This window comes from Homo sapiens, chromosome 2 (assembly GCF_000001405.40).
Source record: "Homo sapiens chromosome 2, GRCh38.p14 Primary Assembly".
Classification (NCBI taxonomy): Eukaryota; Metazoa; Chordata; class Mammalia; order Primates; family Hominidae; genus Homo; species Homo sapiens.
In genome coordinates, this window is record NC_000002.12 from 121,657,281 (window position 1) to 121,674,483 (window position 17,203).

The window sequence follows — 17,203 nt, forward strand, 5'->3', positions numbered from 1 at the left end:
GGACAGGCTGGTCTCGAACTCCTGACCTCGTGATCCACCTACCTTGGCCTCCCCAAAGTGCTGGGATTACAGATGTGAGCTACCATGCCTAGCTATTTTTTTTTTATTTTAAGTGGAAACAGGGTTTCGTTATGTTGGCCAGGCTGGTCTCAAACTCCTGGCCTCAAGTGATCCACCCACCTCGGCCTCCCAAAGTGCTGGGATTACAGGTGTGAGCCACCATGCCCAGCCTGCGTTCTGTGTTTGTTTGTTTGTTTGTTTGTTTTTGAGACAGACTCTTGCTCTGTCACCCAGGCTGGAGTGCAGTGTTGCGATCTTGGCTCACTGCAGCCTCTGCCTCCTGGGTTCAAGTGATTCTCCTGCCTCAGCCTCCTGAGTAGCTGGGATTACAGGCACCTGCCACCAAGCCCAGCTAATTTTTGTTTTTTGTATTTTTAGTAGAGACAGGGTTTCACCATGTTGGGCAGGGAATGGTCTCGAGCTCCTGACCTCATAATCCACCTGCCTCAGCCTCCCAAAGTGCTGGGATTATAGGCGTGAGCCACCACACCTGGCCATCGTTGATTATTTTTTAAATGTTTGGTAGAATTTACCAGTGAAGCCATTTGGGCCTAGGCTTTTTTTTGTGGGTAGTTTTTCTTTCTTTCTTTCTTCTTATTAATTCAATCTCTTTATTATAAGTCTATTCAGACTTTCTATTCCTTCTCAAGTCAGTTTCAGTAGTTTATGTCATTCTAGGAATTTGTCCATTTTATGTAAGTTATCTATTTTGTTGGCATTTAGCTATTCATAGTATTCTTTTTTGATTCTCTTTATTTCTGTAAGGTCAGTATTAATGTACCTGTCTCATAATACTGTTTTTTTCCAGTGTGTTCAAATCAGGCCAAATAATTCTGATACACAATATTCGATTTATTTGTCTCTGTGGTCTCTTGTAATATATAGATTTCCTTCCATCTCATTTTTTCTTGATATATATTTATTGAAGAAATGAAATTACTTGTATATTTCTCACATTCTATATTTTTCTGATTGTATTCTTGGAAGTCATTAACATGTTCTTCTATCCCCTAGCTAGTTGATAGGTAGTTCTTTATTATGATTTAGGTTTGATTTTTTTATGGCAAACTATTTCTTTTTTTTCCACCAGTTGTCAAATGATCCTTTACTGAAATATTTTCCTTTGTGCTTCTTAACTAGCTGGGCATTCCACAGCACCACTGTTGATGTCATCTATGATTTCATGAGGGTGGTGGCTGTCAACATTACAACCCAAAGACTGGGCAGTCCCCAGGATCTCTTTAATGTTTCCAGAGAGTTCTCTGGATCTCTCCAGATTGGTGCCACATCTGTTGAGCAATGTTGATGATCTCATCAAAAGTGATATTCCCACTGTGTTTAATGTTTTTCTGTTTATTTCTGTCTTGATGGTTCCTCGAGGGCTTTGATGATCAGGGCAGAGGCAGAAGGCACCACCTCAATCTGGGCCTGTCTGTTCTGAATGGTCAGTTTTCACTGTAATCCTCAGGCCCTTCCAGTCACCCGTTGTCTTGGCAATGTCGTCACCAACCTTTTTTGGAGACAGACCCAGGGGGCCAATCTGGGGGCCAGCGCAGACGTGGCACCAACTTCACCCCCAGTGCACCTCAGGTATACGACTTTGATCTCTTTGGGGTTGAACTTTGGCAGCATGGTGGAGGCGGCTGGTGTCAGATGAACCCGGATTCGGGACTACCAAAGAAAGTTGCACCTTGGCCTCCTCCGAGCTCAGATCCGAAAGCAGCAAAACTATTTATACATCGATTATCAGGCACATAGTTTCCAATTTTATCTCTTTTCGTGAAGTTGGCAGTCATTGATGACCACTGCCTAGGTTCATTATTACAATTGAAATAGTTCAATAGAAGGCAGAGTATGGGCATCAATCAGTCCAGACTATAAGAACTTTTGGGAGGTGACTTTTGATGATTATGAGTACTACATTCTATACTATTCTTAGAACCTTGGCATCAGGGCTGGGCGCAGTGGCTCAGGCCTGTAATCCCAGCACTTTGGGAGGCCCAGGCAGGCGGATCACCTGAGGTCAGGAGTTTGAGACCAGCATTACCAATATGGTGAAATCCTGTCTCTACTAAAAATACAAAAATTAGACAGGCATGGTGGCTTGTGCCTGTAGTCCCAGCTACTCAGGAGGCTGAGACAGGAGAATTGCGTGGATCCGGGAGGTGGAGGTATCGTGCCACTGCACACCAGCCTGGGCAACAGAGCGAGACTCCATCTCAAAAATAAATAAATAAATAACCTCGGAGTCAGGAGATGGGATCTACTCCCAACTCTGCCACCAACTAGCTGAGCATCCTCTTTGGCACCTGTTTTCTTATCTGTAGAATGGGGGAATAAACTAATACAATGTCTAGGACTTTTGGCTATTCTAACATTCTCTGACTAAACAAGTAGAGGACTTAATCTTTCCCAAAGATGATTTGGGTGAGTTAAAAAGGAACTGCTGACCTTGTGTTATTATTCCCATTTCATACCAAAAATGTTTATTTCAAAGCCAACATTTATCAGTCATTAAATCCAGTAAAGTATATAACAGAGTCCATTAAAAGTATTATGAGGCAAGGTATGGTGGCTCACTTCTGTAACCCCAGCACTTTGGGAGACCGAGGCGGGCAGATTGCTTGAGTCCAGGAGTTCACGACCAGCCTGGCCCACATGGCAAGACCCCATCTCTACAAAAAATACAAAATTTAGCCGGGCACAATGGTGCATGCCTGTAGTCCCAGCTACTTGGTGGGGCTGAGCTGGGAGGATCGCTTGAGCCCAGGAGGTCAAGGCTGCAGTGAGCCATGAGTGTGCCACTCCACTCTAGCCTGGATGACATAGTGAGACCCTGTCTCAAAACAAACAAACAAAAAAAGTGAAAAGTATCAGGAGAGCAGGAAGCCAAGGCCAAAAGCGTTGTTTTCTGGATTCTAGTTCTGGCTCTGCAGCTAATCAACATGCACTCTCAGTGTCCTGTCCATAGGGTAAAAGATTGCATGAGTAGCTCTAAAGGCCTGTAAGCTTTATGATTTTATGCCTATTCTTGATTTTTCTCACAGTTTTGAGGATGCTATTTTTGTTAATATCTTTTTTTTTATACTTTTAAGTTTTAGGATACATGTGCACAATGTGCAGGTTTGTTACATATGTATACATGTGCCATGTTGGTGTGCTGCACCCATTAACTCGTTATTTAACATTAGGTATATCTCCTAATGCTATCCCTCCCCCCTCCCCCACCCTATTTTTGTTAATATCTTTAGCGCTACTTGTTTTTATCTGCATTCTGATTATGCTTTACTCAGCAACTAACTGGCATAGGCCTGCCCCAGGTGTCAGTTCGTATAGCAAATTCAGCTTGAGCATAAAGAACTTTCTGGAAGCAAAGACACCAAAATATTAGCAATTTATTATTTCTAGGTGGTAAGATTATTGGTCATTTTAAAATTTACATTTGTATTCTTTATTTTATTCTACAAACATATATTTTTTTGGCCAGGCACGGTGGCTCACACCTGTAATCCCAGCACTTTGGGAGGCCAAGGCAGGTGGATTAGCCAGGTGTGGTGATGGGCGCCTGTAATCCCAGCTACTTGGGAGGCTGAGGCAGGAGAATAACTTGAACCCGGGAGGCAGAGGTTGCAGTAAGCCAAGATCCCGCCACTGCACTCCTGCCTAGATGACAGAGTGAGACCCTCTGTCACACACACACACACACACACACACACACACTCTCTCTCTCTCTCTCTCTCTATATATATATATATACACACACACACACATATGTATATATATTTTTTAAAAAATTTTTTTTATTTTTAGTAGAGACAAGGTCTCGCTATGTTGCCCAGGCTGGTCTTGAACTCCTGGGATCAAGGGATCCTCTCACCTCAGCCTCCCAGAGTGCTGAGATTACAGATGTGAGCCACTTGGCTGGCACTTTTTTTTTTTTTTTTTTGAAATGGAGTCTCTCTTTCTTGTTGCCCGGGTTGGAGTGCAATGGCGTGATCTTGGCAACCTCCACTTCTCAGTTTCAAGCAGTTCTCCTGTCTCAGCCTCCCAATTAGCTGGGATTACAGGCGTGCACCACCACGCCCAACTAAGGCATATTTTTATAATATTTTAAAAGTTATTCTTAAGGCATTTGATAGCATATTTTTGATTGCATGCCCCAGCAAAGAGGAATCACTAAACTTTAGGTCAGTAGATTTCTTTCTCTTCCTATAATTCAGTTTGGCAGCATCTTCCATTCTAAGTTAACCTAAATACTTTAGTAATAAAGACTTACATGTATCTAATTAGATAGTCAGCTTTACTTAATCTTCTTAATCATCTAGATTAGATGTTAAGTGAAAAAATATTTTGTGCCTACAGAAATTAAGATTCGGAAAGAACAGTAGCACATACATGCTATCAACATCTGTGTCATAACTCATATGGAATCTGGATTTGCGCTACTTGGGGAACAGGTAGTGTCTGCTAGAGAAGTGGTGTGACAGAAACATGGGCAAAGGCAGGGTGTGTCTTTTGTAAATGATGAAAACAGAAGATTAAAAACAAGTTTGCTAAATCATGTTCATAACCACTCCCTGGAGAGCAATTACTCTGATTACTCGACTTACCTGGTAAGTACCACCCACTGTAGGAGAAAATACAGATGTTTGGTTCACTGTTATGGGTTTCCCCATGTGCAAAGGTGTTATGCTGCTGCTATGCTCGTCTTTAAACACTGTAGTAGCAGTTACTGAAGAATGGTAGAGTAAGGGGTGCCCTCACAGCTGTCAACTCACTGTGTGATCCAGACGAGTAACGTAGCCTGGTCGCAAGCTCCAAGGTTACTTATCTTTAGTGGAGGGGATAGTTCTAGTTTCCAGTGTTATCACGACTAGTAAAATTGATATTATAAAATCCACTTCTCAGTAAGGAAGGCAGTTTGAAAGCGTTCTTGTTGTGAGAAGCATGACAAATACAGGCAGTTCTATGGACAGTGTTTATGTAAAACAAATTATTGAATAGCCATTTGAACATTAACTGTTGCCCAGTGTGTTATAATGTGTACCTGCTCAGGCATTTTGAAGACTCTTCTTACACCTAGTGAGGACCAAGGGCAAATAGCAAAAAGTAACCTGACATAGAGTTTTAGTTTGGAGATTTTCTTTTGAATTGCCCTCAGGGAGATTTCTCAAGCAACACTGGTCCATGCCAATTTGCAAATGGACTCTTGTGCCAGTGGCTCAATCAACCCATCCAAATGCAGAGAACCATTTGGAGGCATTCAAAACCAAATGAGGGGCAATTTTCTTTCATTTATATGCTGTCTGTTAACCTCTCTTTCACCAAAAATTAACCTGATTCTGGGTATGCATACCTGAAAAAACACAATTTTTACACTCAAGGAAGTTTCATTTTTTCATAGGAAAAAATCAACTATTACTAAACTATACAGTTACTACAGTGATGGAGATGTGTGCAGGCTGCTGTAGGAACATAAAAGGGAGCGCCTAACAGGTGTGGGTGAGTCAAAGAGAGCTGGGGAGGAATGAAGGCAACATTCTTGAGCTAAACCAAATAAACAAAACATTGCAACTCACAATTATGACCTATTTCAAACTCTTAGAACTACAGTAATGATTTAGACTAGTTCTCATTTGGACAGGGTTTATTTACTCTTACGGTTTCAAGCACCCCTTAATCTTTCCATTTTAACAAGGGTATATGGAGCTTCACAGATAATATCTCCAAAAATGGGCATATTTTGACTTGTAGACCATCACCTGCACACACACTTCAAGGTCACTTTCATACAGCAAAGTGAGGAAAGAGTTTATTAGCTAGATGAGAATGTGTAAATGAGGCCGGGTGTGGTGGCTCACGCCTGTAATCCCAGCACTTCGGGAGGCTGAGATGGGTGGATCTCCTTTGGTCAGGAGTTAGAGACCAGCCGGGCCAACATGGTGAAACCCTGTCTCTACTAAAAATACAAAAATTAGCTGGCATGGTGGCGGGCGCCTGTAGTCCCAGCTACTCAGGAGGCTGAGGCAGGACAATCCCTTGAACCCAGGAGGTGGAGGTTGCAGTGAGCCAAGATCACGCCACTGCACTTCAGACTGGTGACAGAGCAAGACTGTCTCAAAAAAACAATGTGTAAATGAAACTGCCCTACTATTTCTGCTTTAGTAAAAACAACAGATTCTGGTCAGTATTTGTTCACTTATATTGGGCATAAGATAATTCCTGCTGTTTGTTGCAGATCTTGGCATACTGCCTGATTGTCCTGCATGGGAATCTTGGACTGCTACTACAGCAATTTCATGACTGTGTTTCTTCTATTTTTGTTTTTACCACGTTAGTTATATCATGCAGTACTTGAAACGAAGGTGGAGTCTGTCACTCTGTCAGCCTGCAGTTTAAAAAGTTAGATGATGCATTAAAAAATCAACAAATTTTGCCAGGAAGGCAGTGTGTGCCTGTGGTCCTAACTTCTCGGAAGACTGAGTCAGGAGGATTGCTTGAGCCTAGCAGTTTGAATCCAGTCTGGGCAACATAGTGAGACCCTTTGTCTTAAAAAAAATCAACACATTTTAAAAGTATTTCAAGATTTGTATTTGCCATATTTCCAAGCTAGTATTATTTATTTAGAGTTTCCTATTGCGGGTGAAATTCTCTTGTCTTTTGCTGTTTGCAGTAACTTGAGTCTTTTTTCATCTCTTCAGATAATCTACTTATATTCATGCCAAGTTTTCTAGTTTTCCTATTGCTTCCTCTAATTTTCAAATAGAGTATATACAATATTGAGCATAGTTTCTCATTAGTCTGTTCACAGTCACTAAACTAATCCTCAAATGTATTTGATTCTATCACTTTCCAAAATTTGCCTTTGCTGGTTCATAATATAGTTACCTAACTTCCCCAGCTCTGCCCTCGCTCATGAACTGTATTTCTCTACATTACCCCCACACTGCATTGGCATTCTGAGTCATCGGGGATTAGGTATCCTTCCTGCTATTAACTACATAATATTTAAACTTCCCCACTTGCCCATCTCCTTTATTTCGTATTCAAACACCACATGAATTAAACTAACGTTGGTTGCTTTTAACCTGTAATTCCTGACTGCAACAGGTAGTTAGTTGCCACCTCTTGAAATGAACAGATTTGACTAGAAGCTGACACTTCTTACTCCCGCTGAACTTAGTATTTTACATTTATATAAATTCAAAAAGCAAAATCATACCTTTCTTATCAATGGGCCCTCTTTGTCCATTGATAACATAATATTGCAATATAAACAAAAAGTATTTGTACCATACCTCAGAAAACAAATTAGATTACTATTAGTGCAAAACAGGGGAAAAGTAGAAAAATGTTATTGTAAAGAGACTATCACCCACTTCAAGGGATTTATCAGGTAACTGCCTGTGTAAGTTACAAAGACAATGCTAATCTATAACTAGTGTATACCTAGATGAGCCGCCAGGACATTTGTCTAATGGCAGATGGGGTAATTGGACTCCACATCTTCAACTTAGGCACATGGAAAACAGCATCCCTAAAAGTTGCCTGGGGATGACCAGTACTGAGCCAACCAGCTTAGTGGAACTGTTACGAGAGAGAAACTTCAGAGCCAAGGAATTTCTTGGCAGAGCCTCACATTCTGCCTTAGAATCATGAAAAGTTAGATCTAGAAGGTAACAGAGATCATTTAATCCACTGCCCTTATTTTACGGTGAAAAACTGAAGGCCAGAGAAGTTAAGGAGTTTGCCTAAGGTCTCACACTCGTAGTTAGTGACAGATTCAGAGCTAGAACTAGATCATCCTGACTGCATTTCAGTAGTCTTAGAGCTGGCCGACAAATCTGACAACTCACATTGAACCCATGTTCCAAAAGGTATTTTATATTGAGCTTATGAACACCGCTTTTTAAATTTATGTTATTTATTTATTTATTTATTTATTATATTTTAAGATCTGGGATACATGTGCAGAACATGCAGGTTTGTTACATAGGTATACATGTGCCATGGTGGCTTGCTGCACCCATCAATCTGCCATCCTGTTTTAAGCCCCACATTCATTAGGTATTTGTCCTAATGCTCTCCCTCCTGTTGCCCCCCATCCCTTGACAGGCCCCCGTGTGTGATGTTCCCCTCTCTGCGTCCATGTGTTCTCATTGTTCACCTCCCACTTTTGAGTGAGAACATGCGGTGTTTGGTTTTCTGTATGAACACCCCTTTCACAGAAAATTAGGCAAACAGGTTGGAATATTTAGAATAGAAAACATTTATTATAAAGTCACAAGAAATACCTGTGTAGACTTGCTGACTGGAAGTATTTGGCTTCCGTAAGACAAAGAAGAGTCTTAGTCATCTGGTTAAAGTTAAAAACGATTGTGTCACCAGGCTGAAAGCAGACATGCTGTGGAAGCAGTAGGCTGAAATTAGAACTGAATACAAGAGTTTAGAGAAAATTGAATTTGGAGCTATCTCACAACACTGGGAGTTATTCTGTTTTTGTTTGCTTTTAATAGGCACACAAAAAAGAATAGTGACTACAATGAACTCCTTGTGTAGCCCCACCAGACCCCATTTTCTTCCCTCCCCACTGAATTTGGTGCTTATATTTCCATACCTATTCATGTGGTTTTCCTATAGGTAAATGTATCCCTAAGTGATGTTTAGCATTATTTTCATATTTTAAGCTACATAAATGCTATCATATTGTATATATGTGTCTACAACTTGCATTTTTTTTTTTGCTTAATACTACATTTTTGAGATTTATCCTATTGATAAATAGGATTTCTCTAACTAATTTATTTTATTTTTTGGAGATGAGGTCCCGCTATGTTACCCAGGCTGGAATGCAGTGGCAGTTCACAGGCACAATCATAGCACAATGTGGCCTTGAACTCCTGGACACAAGTGACCTCTTGCCTCAGGCTCCTGAGTAGCTGGGGACTACAGGCCCCAGCCACTGCACCAGGCCAGCTAATTCATTTTAACTGCTTTATGGTGTTCCATTGTATGAATGTTTCAACATTTAGCTAATCTCCTATTGATTGACATCTAGTGAGTTTCCAGTTTTTTGATTTGCTTTGTTTCATTTGCTGTTTTATTTTAATGTTGCTACTGTAAACATGTTTATAAAACTGGTGCATGTGTGAAAGAGTTTGTCTAGTAACATTTACAAGGTCTCAGTGTGTGTGTGCAAATCTTGAATTTAGCAAGAAGATCTCAAAATAGCAGGTTATGAGACTAACACAAGGACTGTGTATTTTTAGAGTTTTAATTTTTTGTGAATCTGAAGAGTGTAAAATACTGTTGCCTTCTGGTTTTAATTTCTCTGATTCCTTGTGGGGCTGAGTACCTTTCCATGTGTTCACAGACAATTTGGATCTCCTCTTCTCCCTAGCTCACTTTTCAGATGAGCTGCTGAACTTTTTATTGTTCATTCTGAAAAATGTTCTATAGTCATTATGTAAATCCTTATTATATGCATTGCCAATATCTTCTCCTAATCTGGAGCTTGACTTTTCACTTTTATAATGATATATTTTCATGAACATATTTATCAATCTTTTATTTTTTATTTATACTTATTATTTCTTTAAAACATCATTTTTTCACTCTAAGGTCATAAGATATTCCCCAATATTTTTCTTTAGTTTTTTTAAAGTTTTATTTTTTTACAATCTTCAAGTCTTTTATGTGCCAGGAATTAACTTGTGTGTAGTGTGAGGTCAGGAGCTAGTTTTATTTTTTTCTACATCGACAAGCAATTGTTTAGAAACCATTAATTGAATATTACATTTCTTCCCCACAGTTGGGTAATGGCACTTTCATCATATATCCTGGACTCTCTATCAGTCAGGTTATTATTCCTGTGCCTTATTATACCATATTAACTACTATATCTTTATGGTAAGTCTCAATATCTGGAAAGCCCCTATTTGTCAAGTGGATGCAATGGGAGCTAGATGGATTTGCACTATCCTTCTTGAATACCATCCAAGAGGTATGAATACTGTGGGGAAGGAAACCCAGAAGGATGTTATCTTAGCCCTTTTGTGTTGCTATAAAGGAATACTTGAGGCTGTGTAATTTATAAAGAAAAGAGGATTATTTGGCTCACAGTTCTGCAGGCCTTATAAGAAGCATGATCCAGCCTGACCAACATGGTGAAACCCTGTCTCTACTAAAAATACAAAAATTAGCCGGGCATGGTGGTGCGCCTGTAGTCCCAGCTACTCAGGAGGCTGTGGCAAGAGAACTGCTTGAACCTGGGAGGTGGAATTTGCTGAACCAAAATCATGCCACTGCACTCCAGCCTGGGTGACAGAATCTCAGGGAAAAAAAAAAAAAAAAGCATGATGCCAGCATCTGCTTCTGGCAAGGGCTTCTGGCTGTTTCCACCAGTGGCAGAAGGGTAAGGGGAACTGGCAGATTCAGAGATCATATGGTGAGAGGGGTGGCAAGAAGTGGGAGGAGGTTCCAGGCTGTTTTTAGTGACCAGCTTTCCTGGGAACTAATAGAGTGAGAACTCAGTACCACAAGGACAGCACCAAGCCATTCATGAGGCACCTGCCCCATGACTGAGCAAAACACCTTCCATTAGGCCCCACCTCTAACATGGGGGACCACATTTTAACATGAGGTTTAGGGGGACATGAAAACTATATCGGAGACTATGGGGTCAGTCATTGTTGCAGTAGCTGAGTGGGGAAATGGGAATCCTGGAACTGGAGATCAGTGTCCCACATCAAGGAACTGTGCTCTGTGGAGACCTGTGGGCCCTCTAAGAACTCACATGTGTGTCTCCTGAGAGACATCCAGGCCTTGGATACCTGACCACAAAGGGCCTCTTGTGGTCCTTCAGTGTTATTAAGTAGAACAACAGCAACCAGCAGAGGACTCCAGTTGCTTCCAGTGAAGTAAAAAGTCACTTTCTCTGAAAGTGGAGTTAAGAACACAATTCTCCTTACAATGGCTGGACGTGCTGGCTCATGCTTGTAATCCTAGCACTTTGGGAAACTGAGATGGGCAGATAACTTGCGGCCAGGAGTTCGAGACCAGCCTGGCCAACATGGTGAAACCTTGTCTCTACTAAAATACAAAAATTAGCAGGGTGTGGTGGCACATGCCTGTGGTCCCAGCTACTTGGGGGACTGAGGCATGAGAATCCCTTGAACCTGGCAGGTGGAGGTTGCAGTGAGCTGAGATCACACCACACACTTCAGCCTGGGCAACAGAGCGAGACTCCATGACAGAAAGAGAGAGAGAGAGAGAAAGAAAGAAAGAAAATTCTTCTTACAATAACAGCAAAAAGAATAAAACAGGAATAGATTTAGCAAAAGAAGTACAAGACTTGTACACTGAAAACTGTTGAAAGAAGTTAAAGAAGACCAAACAAAATCCCAGCCAGCTTCTTTGTACAAATTGACAAACTAATCCTACAATTAATATGGAAATGCAAGAGACCAAGAAAAGCCAAACTATTTTGGAAAAAAAAAATAACAAAGTTCCTGGAGGACTCACACTTTCTAATTTCAAAGCTACAATAATCAAAACTTACTACAAACCCAAAATAATCAAAACGGCATGGTATTGGCCTACATATAGACATATTGACCAATGGAATAGAATTAAGAGTTTATAAATAAACCCATACATCTGTGTTGAATTGATTTTCAACCAGGGTGCCAATTCGGTGAGAAACAAACATCCTTTCAACAAATGGCTCTAGGACAACTGGATAGCTACATGCAAAAGAATGAAGTTAGACCCCTTGCCTCACACCATATGTAGAAATCTACATGAAACTAAAACTGCTTTAAAAAATAGTCTATTTATTTAGAAACAGGGTCTTGCTCTGTCACCCAGGCTGGAGTACTCTGACACAACAATAGCTCACTGCAGCTTCAAACTCCTGGGCTCAAGTGATGCTCCTGCCTCAGCCTCCTGATAGCTAGGATTACAGACATATGCCACCATGCCCAGCTATTATTTAATTTTTTGTACAGACCAAGACTGGGTCTTGCCATGTTGCCCAGGCTGGTCTCAAACTGCTGGGCTCAAGTGATCCTCCCACCTCGGCCTCACAGCACACTGCTGCAAATTCCATGAGATGGGTGAAAAACTATGAGTTCCCAACATGTGAGAAGGGGGAAACCTGCCTCTGAACACACATCTCCACTGGGGAACCTCAAAACCCAGATTATGGAAGAAGGATTTAACCTTGCCTAGAGCTGAAATGGATTTAGTATAAAATATAAAAGTAGAAATAGTAGCAGGAAGAGCCTTGTAGGCGCTCCCATTCTCCAGCTTGGGCCAGGGAAGCCATCCCTGACTGTATCTCACCGAGGCCATTGAGGAAGACAGTTGGCAGAATTTGGGCAGGGTCGCAGGGTGAAATAAGCTTCCAACTGAACTGTGTAATAATTTTGACTGGGCGCAAACTCTGTCGAGCAGAAATCGGGGGTGAAAGTGAACTGCTGCAGAAAGGAGCATAGGAGCCACAGCTGACAGTGTGGGCAGACAGGGAGGGGCAAGGCCTGAAAGCCATGCTTGCTTTCTTAGTGGGGAAACTTATACCCTGGGGCTAGGTCTGAGTCCTGCACACCAGCTGCCTGGAGATAAACTGTGCTGTTAGCGGGGCACAGTGGGAGTGAAACTGGCCTTGCCAACTGTGTGGTAGCTGGGTGAGCCCTGTGGCTACTTACTTTCCCCCACTTCCCTGGTGACAGAGGCGCCATAATCCACACTGGAACATAACCCCATTTGCCTGAGAATCAGCCCCCTATCCCCCACAGTGGCTGTGGCAAAAAGAGTCTGAGCTCAGACCTGCCTAATCCTGCCCCAACCTGATGGTATTTCCCTACCCATCCCAGTGCCCAGTCACAAAAGACAAACTCTTGGGAGCTTTATGGCCCTACTTATCACATGAGAAACCTGAACACTTATCCTGACCAACTTAGGGCAAGCTTATATCCCCCTTCTACTATCACAGCTGGTGCTCTCCTGAACATACCACCTCCTGGCTGGAGGCCAACCAACTCAAGATATGACAGCAACTCATGACAAAATAACACTGCTCCAAGGAAGGAAAAAACAGCTAACTCCACTATCTGCAACATCCTGGCTAAACAGAGGTCCTGTCCATGTGGCAACATCACTGCTATCATAACCAGCATTTGAGAAAGCCAGCACACTAAACATCTACAACCAAGGCTTCTCATAGAGTCTATGTCACTACCCTGCCACCTCCCCCAGAGGAGGTGCTGGTATCCATAGCTGGGAGACCTGAAGATGGATTACATCACAACACTCTTTGCAGACACTCCCCAGCATGATCCTGGAGCTTGGAAGCCCCACTGGATGCCTAGACCCAGAAAAGCAATAACAATCACCACAGTCTGGCTCTCAGAAAGCCCCATCCCTAAGGAAAGGGGGAGTGCACCACATCACGGGATCACCCTGTGAGACAAAAGAATCTGAACAGCAGCCCTTGAGTTCCAGATTTTTCCACTAAAATAGTCTACCCAATAAGAAGAAATCAAAAACATAATTCAGGTAATATGACAAAACAAGGTTCTATAACACCCACAAAAGACCACACTAGCTTCCTAGCAATGGATCCAAACCCAGAAGGAATCTCTGAATTGCCACATAAAGAAGTCAGAAGGTTGATTATTAAGCTACTGAAGGAGATACTAGAGAAAGGTGAAAACCAACTTAAAGAAATGTAAAAATCAAGCCAGGTGCGGTGGCTCACGCTTGTAATCCGAGCACTTCGGGAAGCCAAGGCAGGTCACTTGAGGCCAGGAGTTTGAGACCAGCCTGGCCAACATGGCAAAACCCTGTCTGTACTAAAACAAAAACAAAAATTAGCCTGGCTTGGTGGTACATCCCTTTGGTCCCAGCTACTCAGGATGCTGAGGTGGAAGGATCACTTGAACATAGGAGGTAGAGGTTGCAGTGAGCCAAGATCATGCAACTGCCCACCAACCTGGGTGACAAGCAAGACCCTCTCTCAAAACAAAACAAAAAGTTAAAAAAAAATACAGGACATGGATGAAAAATTCCCCAGAGGTATAGATATCATAAAGAAAAAACAATTGGGCCGGGCGTGGTGGCTCATGCCTGTAATCCCAGCATTTTGGGAGGCCAAGGCGGGCAGATCACCTGAGGTCAGGAGTTCGTGACCAGCCTGACCAAAATGGAGAAATGCTGTCTCTACTAAAAATACAAAATTAGCTGGGCGTGGTGGTGCATGCCTGTAATCCCAGCTACTTGGGAGGCTGAGGCAGGAGAATCGCTTGAACCCAGGAGGCAGAGGTTGTGGTGAGCCAAGATCATGCCATTGCACTCCAGCCTGGGCAACAAAAGTGAAACTCTTGTCTCAAAAAAAAGAAAAAAAGAAACAATCACAACTTCTGGAAATGAAAGACACACTTAGAGACATACAAAATGCACTGGAAAGTGTCAACAATAGACTAGAACAAGTAGAAGAAAAAACTTCAGAGCTTGACAAGGCTTTTGAATTAACCCAATCAGACAAAGACAAAGAAAAAGGAATTTTACAAAATGAAGAAAGCCACCAAGAAATTGGGGATTATGTTAAATAGACAAAACTAAAAATAATTGGTATTCCTGAGGAAGAAGAGAAATCTAAAAGTTTGGAAAACTTATTTGAGGGAATAATCAAGGAAAACTTCTCTGGCCTTGCTAGAGATCTAAACATCCAAATAGAAGAAGCTCAAAGAACACCTGGGAAAATCATTGCAAAAAGATCACCTAGGCACACAGTCATCAGGTTATCTAAAGCCAAAACAAAGGAAAGAATCTTGAGAGCTGCAAGGCAAAAGCCTCAGACAACCTATAAAGGAAAACCTATCAGATTAACAGCAGATTTCTCAGCAGAAACTCTACAAGCCAGAAGTGATTGAGGTCCTATCTTTAGCATCTTCAGACAAAATAATTGCTAGACAAGAATTCTGTATCCAGCAAAACTAACCTTCATATATGAAAAAGAGAGAAATTATTTTTCAGACAAACAAATGCTGAGAGAATTTGTCACTACTAAGCCAGCACTACAAGAAATGCTAAAAGGATTTCTAAATCTTGAAACAAAACTTCAAAATATACCAAAATAGAAACTCCTTAAAGCATACATTTCACAGGGCCTATAAAACAATGAAAAACAAACAAGGTATTCAGGCAACAACTAGCATGAAGAATAAAATAGTACCTCACATCTCAATAATAAAATGAATATAAATGGCCTAAATGCTCCTCTTAAAAGATGCAGAATGGGCTGGGTGTGGTGGCTCACACCTGTAATCCCAGCACTTTGGGAGGCTAAGGCAGGCAGATCACGAGGTCAGGAGATCAAGACCATCCTGGCTAACACAGTGAAACCCCGTCTCTACTAAAAATACAAAAAAATAGGCCAGGCATGGCAGCAGGCACCTGTAGTCCCAGCTAACCAGGAGGCTGAGGAAGGAGAATGGTGTGAACCCAGGAGGCGGAGCTTGCAGTGAGCCGAGATCGTGCCTCTGCACTCCAGCCTGGGCGACAGAGCGAGACTCCGTCTCAAAAAAAAAAAAAAAAAAAAAAAATTGCAGAATGGCAGAATGGATAAAAATCTACCAACCACATATCTTCTGTCTTCAAGAGACTGGCCTAATGCATAAGGATTCACATAAACTTAATGTAAAGGAGTGGGAAAAGATATTCCTTGCAAATGGAAACCAAAAGTGAGGAAGAGTAGCTATTCTTATATCAGACAAAACAGACTTTAAAGCAACAAGTTAAAAAAGACAAAGAGGGACATTATATAATAATAAAAGGATCATTTCAACAAGAAAATATCACAATCCTAAATATATATGCACCTAACACTGGAGGTCCCAAATTTATAAAACAATTATTACTAGACCTAAGAAATGAGATAGATGGCAACACAATAATAGTCAGGGACAGCCGGGTGCAATGGCTCACAACTGTAATCCCAGCACTTTGGGAGGCCAAAGCAGGTGGATCACCTGAGGTCAGGAGTTTGAGACCAGCCTGACCAACATGGCAAAACCCTGTCTCTACTAAAAATACAAAAAGTAGCTGGGTGTGGTAGCACATGCCTGTATTCCCAGCTACTCAGGAGGCTGAGGTAGGAGAATCGCTTGAACCCAGGAGGCAGAGGTTGCAGTGAGCTGAGATTGTGCCACTGCCCTCCAACATGGGAGACAGAGCGAGACTCCATTTCAAAAAAATAAAAGAATAGTAGTTGGGGACTTCAATACTCCAGTGACAGCACTAGACAAGTCATCAAGCCAAAAAGTAAACAAAGAAACAATGGAGCTGGACATGGTGGCTCACACCTGTAATCTCAGCACTTTGGGAAGCCAAAGTGGGCAGATCACCTGAGGTCAGGAGTTTGAGACCAGCCTAGCCAACGTGGTGAAACCCCGTCCCTACTAAAAATACAAAAATTTGCTGGGTGTGGTGGCACATACCTGTAATCCCAGCTAATCAGGAGGCTGAGGCAGGAAAATCGCTTGGACCCCAGAGGTGGAGGTTGCAGTGAGCCAAGATCATGCCACTGCACTCCAGCCTGGGTGACAGAGTGAGACTCTGTGTCACAAAAGGAAGGAGGGAAGGAAGGAAGGAAGGAAGGAAGGAAGGAAGGAAAAGAATTTAAACTATACCATAGAACAAATGGTCTCAACAGATATTTACAGAACTTCTACCTAACAACTACAGAGTATACATTCTTTTTAGCAACACATGGAACATTCTCCAAGATAAAACATGGTGGGCCACAAAACATGTCTCAGTAAATTTAAGAAAACTGAAGTAATATCAAGTACTCTTTCAGACCATACTGGAAAAAAACTGGAAATTAACTCCAAAAAGAACCCTCAAAACTATACAAATACAGGGAAACTTAATAAACTGCTCATGAATGATCTTTGGGTCAGCAATGAAATCAAGATGGAAATTAAAGAATTATTTGAACTGAATGATAATAGTGACAGAACTTATCAAAACATCTGGCATATAGCAAAAGTGGTTCTAAGAGGAAAGTTCATAGCATTAAATGCCTATATCAAAAAGTCTGAAAAAGCACAAATAGCCAATCTAAGGTCACACGTCAAGT

General features: G+C 41.7%; 1 long non-coding RNA gene and 1 pseudogene across 1 annotated transcript in view; one reads left to right on the plus strand and one right to left on the minus strand.

Annotated features, from left to right (window-relative positions):
- The window catches only part of NIFK-AS1 (NIFK antisense RNA 1), a 78,907-nt gene that overhangs the window by 7,627 nt on the left and 54,077 nt on the right, over positions 1 to 17,203 (plus strand). The gene's annotated exons all lie outside the window — the stretch shown is intronic.
- RPL12P15 (ribosomal protein L12 pseudogene 15) lies at positions 1,143 to 1,780 on the minus strand (annotated as a pseudogene).